This window comes from Homo sapiens, chromosome X (assembly GCF_000001405.40).
Source record: "Homo sapiens chromosome X, GRCh38.p14 Primary Assembly".
Lineage (NCBI taxonomy): Eukaryota > Metazoa > Chordata > Mammalia > Primates > Hominidae > Homo > Homo sapiens.
Genome location: NC_000023.11, coordinates 57904686 through 57913484, shown reverse-complemented (window position 1 = coordinate 57913484; position 8799 = coordinate 57904686). Strand labels below are relative to the sequence as shown.

General features: G+C 42.5%; 1 protein-coding gene across 1 annotated transcript, besides 1 other annotated feature; it reads left to right on the top strand.

Moving 5' to 3' along the window:
• ZXDA (zinc finger X-linked duplicated A) lies at window positions 3027-8055 on the top strand. Its single transcript, NM_007156.5, has one exon. The coding sequence runs from the start codon at window positions 3065-3067 to the stop codon at window positions 5462-5464; it is 2400 nt and encodes a 799-aa protein (NP_009087.1). The 5' UTR covers window positions 3027-3064; the 3' UTR covers window positions 5465-8055.
• Window positions 3600-3859: a silencer, noted in NCBI's record as "silent region_20873". NCBI's record gives its function as "represses an Ori minimal core promoter by ATAC-STARR-seq in GM12878 lymphoblastoid cells {active_cell/tissue: GM12878}" and the evidence as "EXISTENCE:reporter gene assay evidence [ECO:0000049][PMID:35858748]".

Genomic DNA, 8799 nt, shown 5'->3' with positions numbered 1-8799 from the left:
AAAGTTGCCTTGTGGGAAAAATATAAAATAATATTTGGGCAAATTAAAGGTGATCTTATTAACAGAAGAGATAGACCATAACCACGAATCGAACATTCAATATTGAGAAGTCAAATCTAAAATATCAGCACAATTCAAATTAGAACCCCAAACTAGCTGTTGGTTGAAGTTTTTACGATTAGTTTATAATTTAAATGGAATTGAAATGGACCAAAAGTAGCCAAGACACTTTTGAAGAGCAAGGTAGAATTGATTTGCCTAATCCAAATATCAGAATTGACTATGGATCTGTAGTAATTAAGACAGTGTGGTATTTCAAACAGACAAGTGCTTAATAGAGAGTATAGAACTAGCCCACATATGTGTAGATACTTGATTTATGGCACTGTAAATCAACTGGCAAAAGGCAGACTTTTCAATAAGTGGTTCACTGAGAAAACTGGATATTCACTTACTTACATACATATATACATAAATGGAACTCTACTTAACACAATACACAAACATCAATTGCAGGTGGATTAAGACCTGACTATGAAGGACAATAGCAGACATATTTTAGAAGAAAATATAGAGAATGCTTTCATGGTCCAGGGTTCCTTAAAACAGAAAAGATTTCTTAAAACAAAAAAGCACTAACCATCAGGAAAAGAATGATGAAATTGACTATATTATAATTAATAGCTTCTGTTCACAAACCGGAGCACAAAGCAAGTGAATATACAAACAGAGCAAGGGAGTATTTTGGCCGCAGGTGTGGAAGAGTATTTAAAATATTTAACAGACTCATTAAGTCAGTATCAGATGAACAATAAAATAGAAACGTGGGTTAAAAGAGGTAAATTTGAATAGGCCTTCCTCAAAATAGAAACTCCAAAAGGCTCATTAACACAAAAATGTGCTAAAGCTTAATAGTAATTTGGATATTGCCCACCAGTAGACCGGCAAAATTTAAATTCGGGCAATACTTGGTGTAGGTGAACATGTGGATCAGTAAGGACTCTCTATGCTGCTGGTGGGATTGACAACTCTCCCAATCACTACAGAGAACAATTTGGCATCATCTAGTAAAGCTGAGGATATCCATTCCCTATGGCCCTGTGATTCTATTCTTGGATATATACCCTAGAGAGATTTTTACACGTGTCCCATTAGAAATGTGCAAGAATGTTCACAATAATCATTGAAAAGTAGAAGCAATCCTAATCTCCATCTGCTGTAGAATGGAGTGGAATAATCATACAATAATCACTTTGCTATAAGCATATGCTGGAAAGACAGTCGATGGAGACAAAGGATCTACTTACTTATAGCTATTATGAACAACATGGACGAGTCTCTCAAGTATAATACAGAGTGAAAAAAGCAAGCTATAAAAGGAAGCATGCCGTATGATTCCACTTATACAACTTCATATCAACTCTATTGTTTAGGGATGCGTACAAAAGTGATAAAGCTATAAAGGAAAGCAGTGAAATGATTATTACAAAGTCGGAGCAATTACTATATCTATATAGGAGAGTGTGGTTTGTGACTGGAAGGAGTACAGCAGCTGTATTCTGGGAGGTTGGCAGTGGTCTATTGCTTGACCTTGGTCCTGGTTAAGTAGGTGTCTGCTTTTGTAAAATAATCTAAACTATACAGATACGTTATATGCACTCTTCTAATTTCAGATTTGAAAAGTGCTTCCTCCAGAAAAAGTAATAGAAAGAAAAGTATGTGGAGTAGAAATTTTGATGAGGTTCGAATAGTTATGGTTGAAAAACTTGATTTTCAAGAGACCAAGTGTCCACTGTTATTAAAAGAGGGCGAGAGAGCTGGGAGTATTTAAACAACAGGTTACACCCCCCCACCCCCACCACCACCAATCTGTTCATCACTCTAAGCCTTCTCATCTCAGATATTTCACCCTATATTTGTGTCAATTCCAAACTCATTCGTGACAGACAAATTGGAGGATTGTCGTCATCATTAATAAGGACATTAGGCACCAAAGGCCCAGCAAGACTGGGCCACCACACTTAAATGTGAGCAGGTACACCGGGGCGAGTGGACAAGATCGTCTGTGCACATTACTTGGCAGAGTCCATTGAGTGACTGAGGGTTTAACCTTAACACATTTAACTGGAACTCCTGCCCAGAGAATGTGCTGGAGAATGCAGAATAAACTGAGCAATGCCCTCATTGTGCTATGAGAGTGGACATGAAGTTTATCATGGTACAACCGATCGTCGAAGGGCAAAGAGTTGGTTTAGGTTGTGCACTGTATAGGGAGAAGCCAGGGGCGGGTTGGGTTTTTTTCCAGATTTCAGTATAAATTGTTTCATCCTCCAGACTTTGCATTTGTAGGCTGAAGAGTGCTAATCTGTTTTGGCCGCATCTCTCACTCATTCTAATCTCTGTTATCAGCAGACAAAAATTGAACTATGTGGCAAATTGTACCGAGCACTTTGCTCAAGACAATTGTGAGTATGGAAGTTGTCCCGCGCAGAGGTGGGAAGGGGAAGGGCAATTTCCGCAGAAATGCCAGCACTATGGTGGTTTAATGCTGACACAGAGACAGTTTTTTCTCTCAGGAATTGTCTTTCATCCATCAATCCAGCCAGGTAGCCAGCCAATAAACAAATTTTAACACACAAAAAGTATGAAGCAACATGTCTAACACTGGGAGGGGCTGGCGTGTGTTTATTTGGGTATATACAATGAGTCACGGATTAAAATTGCTTTTACCAGATAGATACCTAGGTGTTCCACAGCATTATTGAACAAGATGTCGTCATTTCCCCATTACTTCAGAAGACCTCCTTAATTACTTATATTAATTGTAGAATATATTTATGCATACCAGGCTCTACCTCTGGGCTTTCTATTCCGTTCCAGAGACCCAGTACCAGAATATTTAAATCACTGTGGCGTTGAATACATTTTAATATCTGATAGGGCCAGTTTCTGCGCATTGCACATTTTTTTTTCCCCTTTCAGGAACGTGTTCAGGCCCGCGGCAGGGGGCGGGATCGCGCCTCCTCCTCGGCTCTGGTTCCAGCCGAGCCTCTCGGACGCAGAGATGGAAATCCCGAAGCTGCTCCCGGCTCGCGGGACACTACAGGGCGGCGGCGGCGGCGGTATCCCCGCGGGTGGCGGCCGAGTCCACCGAGGCCCTGACTCGCCGGCTGGCCAGGTCCCCACGCGCCGCCTCCTGCTGCCCCGGGGCCCCCAAGATGGCGGGCCCGGGCGGCGGCGCGAGGAGGCCAGCACGGCATCACGGGGCCCTGGCCCAAGCCTGTTCGCGCCGAGGCCCCATCAACCTAGCGGCGGCGGCGACGACTTCTTCCTGGTGCTGCTTGACCCGGTGGGTGGCGACGTGGAGACCGCGGGCTCCGGTCAGGCCGCAGGGCCTGTGTTGAGGGAGGAGGCCAAGGCGGGCCCGGGGCTCCAGGGGGACGAGAGCGGCGCGAACCCCGCGGGCTGCTCTGCGCAGGGCCCCCACTGCCTGTCCGCGGTTCCCACTCCGGCCCCGATCTCCGCCCCCGGCCCCGCCGCGGCCTTCGCGGGCACAGTCACTATCCACAACCAGGACCTGCTGTTGCGCTTTGAGAACGGCGTCCTCACCCTGGCCACGCCCCCACCACACGCCTGGGAGCCAGGGGCCGCTCCTGCCCAGCAGCCCAGGTGTCTGATCGCCCCCCAAGCTGGGTTCCCGCAAGCCGCGCACCCGGGTGACTGCCCAGAGCTGCGGTCCGACCTCCTGCTAGCCGAGCCCGCAGAACCCGCGCCTGCTCCGGCGCCCCAGGAGGAGGCGGAGGGCCTGGCCGCCGCCCTGGGCCCCCGCGGACTGCTGGGCTCTGGTCCAGGCGTGGTGCTGTACCTGTGCCCCGAGGCGCTGTGCGGGCAAACCTTCGCCAAGAAGCACCAGCTGAAGATGCACCTGCTGACGCACAGCAGCAGCCAGGGCCAGAGGCCCTTCAAATGCCCCCTGGGTGGCTGCGGCTGGACCTTCACCACCTCTTACAAGCTCAAGAGGCACCTGCAGTCGCACGATAAACTGCGGCCCTTCGGCTGCCCTGCGGAGGGCTGTGGCAAGAGCTTCACCACCGTGTACAACCTCAAGGCGCACATGAAGGGCCATGAGCAGGAGAACTCGTTCAAATGTGAGGTGTGCGAGGAGAGCTTCCCCACGCAGGCCAAACTCGGCGCCCACCAGCGCAGCCACTTCGAACCCGAGAGGCCTTACCAGTGCGCGTTTTCTGGCTGCAAGAAGACATTTATCACAGTGAGTGCTCTGTTTTCCCATAACCGCGCCCATTTCAGGGAACAGGAACTGTTTTCCTGCTCTTTCCCTGGCTGCAGCAAGCAATATGACAAGGCTTGTAGGCTGAAAATTCACCTGCGGAGTCACACCGGCGAGAGACCTTTCCTTTGTGACTTTGATGGCTGTGGCTGGAACTTCACCAGCATGTCCAAACTCTTAAGGCACAAAAGGAAGCACGACGATGACCGGAGGTTCATGTGCCCTGTGGAAGGCTGTGGGAAATCTTTCACGAGGGCCGAACATCTGAAAGGCCACAGCATTACCCACCTGGGCACAAAGCCTTTCGTGTGTCCTGTGGCAGGCTGCTGTGCCAGGTTCTCTGCTCGCAGTAGCCTCTACATTCACTCCAAGAAACACCTGCAGGATGTGGACACTTGGAAAAGCCGTTGCCCGATCTCCTCTTGTAATAAACTCTTCACATCCAAGCACAGCATGAAGACGCACATGGTTAAAAGGCATAAGGTGGGCCAGGATCTCTTAGCTCAGCTAGAAGCAGCAAATTCTCTTACACCCAGCAGTGAACTTACCAGCCAGAGACAGAATGATCTCAGTGATGCAGAGATAGTGTCTCTCTTCTCTGATGTACCTGACAGTACTTCTGCTGCATTGCTGGACACAGCATTGGTGAACTCTGGAATCTTGACTATTGATGTGGCTTCTGTGAGCTCGACTCTGGCAGGGCACCTCCCTGCTAATAATAATAATTCCGTAGGGCAGGCTGTGGACCCTCCGTCCTTGATGGCCACCAGCGACCCTCCTCAAAGTCTGGATACCTCTCTCTTTTTTGGAACGGCGGCCACTGGTTTTCAGCAGAGCTCCTTAAATATGGATGAGGTCTCAAGTGTAAGTGTGGGGCCATTGGGATCTCTGGACTCTTTGGCCATGAAAAACTCCAGTCCAGAGCCTCAGGCTTTGACACCCAGCAGTAAGCTAACAGTGGACACAGATACTCTGACTCCTTCGAGCACCCTTTGTGAAAACAGTGTCTCAGAACTACTGACACCAGCCAAAGCGGAGTGGAGCGTACATCCTAACTCTGACTTCTTTGGACAGGAGGGAGAAACCCAGTTTGGATTCCCCAATGCAGCAGGAAACCATGGTTCTCAGAAAGAAAGAAATCTTATCACTGTGACTGGCAGCTCATTTTTGGTATGAAGCAACTCTATTCATTCCTTGCCATGTGGCTAACTTTTATTACAGTCAATTTTGAGGATATTCTGGACTAAATATTTAAGTGCAGTCATTTCTTTTTGGTTTGCAAAAAGAGCACAGCCCTGGACTATGAGTTTGGAGATCTAAATTCTGATCTTGAGTCTGGAACTGACAAGTTGTGTGACCCTCAGCAAGTCACTTAACCTATCTGAGCCTTAATTTCCTTATTTATAAATTGTGGTGGTTTGAACACATTGCTCATAAGGTCTTTTCAGTTTTGTTTTGTTTTGTTTTGTGATTTTGTGCTTTTTCTTGAAAATTTTCGGGCATTTTGCAATTATTATTGTTTGTACTTGTAATCAGAAGCGGTTTGAGCCCTGTAGCACTAAATAATGAAAGATTGAGGAACTGGTGTTTTACATTAAAAATTTAATGGAAATTTTACACAGTACGAAAATCTAATGATAGAGCTCAAAAAAAAAGAGCTAAAAATAGGAGTTGGTTCTTCTTAGCTGTTTATCCTTCTAACCTTTTTTTTAAATGATGAAGGTATGTTTTTGTTGTGGAAAATACAAGGGCTTTTGTTATCACTCAGACCCAGAGTGAAATGTTTGCTTTGTGGTTTTGAATAAGTTGGCCTTTAATAAGTTATTTAGTCTCTCTTAGCCTCAGTTTTCTATCTGTAAAATGGTCATAGCAATGTGAACATATGTGTTACATCCTAGACTTATTTTTCTACCCCAGTAGGTTGTATTGAAAGGAAAATGTTATATGTGTTTCAGCATGTTTTGGTGAATCTTCATTCCCTTTCCTGCCCCTTGTTTTCCCTCCTCAAAGGGGAGAAATTAGCACAAATTAGTATCAGGATTGTGCAGGAAATAAACATTTGTGAAGGTTAAGAAAGAGGAAAAGGAAGTTATTTCTTCAACAGATTAAGGATTTTTCTACACACAGTTCTTTTGTGGCATTGGCCACATGTCCATTAGACCAATTTGATAGTATCTTCGGTCTGCATTCAAAGCCAGCTCATGCAATGAGTATTCAGCCTATTCTTCCAAGACAATCTGGACATAGACCAGAGGGAGATTTTTCTCCCCTCTGTGCCCTAGAGAGCTCATTGCTGGCTTACTCTTAGAGTTGAAATGAGAGGGTTTTGTCTGCATTTTGAGTAGATACCATCTATCTTATGTGAGTATAGCATTTTACAATTTAGCACTTTCACAACTATTATATTTGATCCTCACAATCCTGTGAGGTAATTATGGCAAAGTCAGATCTACAATTCATATTAAAATTTACCTAGCTCAGATTACAAATGTATTTCACTTAGTAATGTGTGTGTGTGTGTGTGTGTGTGTGTGTGTGTAGCTCAAAACAAAGAGGAAATATTTCCCACTCTCCCATTCGACTCTTGAGTTTCATGACTATTTTGTTTATAACTGTTTGCTGCCTCCCACCTTAATTGATTTCTCTTACATTCTTTGTACTCCATGCTATTTCCTTGTAGGTGTACACCAGTCCTTGCCATGAATCTCTTTTACTTACATTTAAATTAGACACGTCTCTTTCATGGTCACCATCTCTCAGCCATTCTTCTTATGGCCCATTTTTCAGTCACAGTATTACTGCAAGTATGTGTGTACATTGAGAAGTAATTTTCTGGATTTAGATGGCAATGTGTTTATACATGAATCAGATAATAATGGAGACATTTTATATAAGGTGTTAGTGAGAAGTAGTTCTACTTTTCCTTTTTTACAGTGTGGTCCTGGTAGCAAACACTATTAGTTGCTTTCAACTATTGTAACCCAGTATTGTTTACATGTGGATACTTGGGGATAACAATTATTATGGCACTTTAACAGTGCACTTTAATATATACCACCTTGATATACATCTTTACTGTCTTTATAATTTTTAAGTTGGTTGTACTTATTCAATGAAAAAGCAAAAAATACACATAAATTTGTAATTCAAAGAAATAGAATTTTGTGTCTAACCATTTAACAGTTCTCCCTTAGTATTTTAGAAAGATTTTAAGCCATTTTAGAAATGTGTTGTCATTAGTTAAGTCCTCTTAAATAGATTATTATTATTTTCCTATAGAAAATGCAGAGGCCTGAGGTGAACGCAAGGGTCATAGGCATCCATTAAGATACATAACTATATAGATATCTTAAAACTCTGTCACATTGTTTCCTTAATCCCTTAGACCTATTTCCTCCCATGAAAACTATCATAAGCTATGCTTTTGTTATGGTCTATAGAATTTTCAAAGGACAAATTTTTTTTTTTTAGGATAAAGATCTTGTGATTGTCCGTGGGCTCACATGGTTTCTTTTGTTCAATTTTTTCAAAAGATTTCTTTTTCAATACTGTTGTCCCACCATGATAGTTGACATGGCATGTAATTACAGACAGAAGTGTGACTGTAAACATATTAGTGTTTCTGTTAGTGTTGGCATAAGCTTGCCTTTTTGTTTAAACAATGGAACATGATTTAATTTTATCTCATTTGCCTTTTGTTTATCTTCAGTCCTTGATTTATTAACATTTTGCCAATTGAAAACACAATAAAAAATGCCTTGCAGGAAGGTTTGATTCTGGGGGATCCTGATGAGCATATTTATCATGAGTTTAAATATGTTAATCTTGACATTTTTACCAGTTATCTCATTATAGTGTTACGTAATTGAAAGCCTTGAATAGTAAAAGTGAAACTTGTTGAAATACGAGGATCATCTTTCTCTGTGGATTAAATGCTTCATATTCTCATCCAAGAAAAATAAGATAAGGCATTAGTATAACAGGGTATTTTTGACTGTTCCTTGATTCCACATAAAGCAATGATTAACTCCCTGATGGGAATATTCATAATCCCTTGGTAATTATTGGTATCAAACAGATCCACTTGATAACTTCATGATGATATAAACTAAACTAAATGCAACTCACTCAAAATATGTGACAATTGAAATGTAAGGCCGAACTGAAATTTATGTATATATATAAAAAACTGAAATTTGTATATATTATATATGTAATTGAAATTTATATGTATATATTATATATAAATTTATATATAATATATATTTTTATATTTATATATTATCTATATAATAATATATATAAATTTATATATATATATATATATATATATATATATATAGCTTTTTTGAAAAATAGATTTGCTTAACAATTTTTTAAAAAGCAAGTTGTATGCTAGGGTTTAAAGCAGGAGTCCCCAGCCCCCAGGCCATGGACAGGTACTAGTCCATGGCGTATTAGAAATTGTTCTGCATAGCAGGAGGTGAGTGGCCGCCAGGGAGCAAAACTGA

Excerpts from the sequence above, each read along its gene's own strand:
- ZXDA (NM_007156.5), top strand. The coding sequence starts at position 3,065 with ATGGAAATCCCGAAGCTGCTCCCGGCTCGCGGGACACTACAGGGCGGC.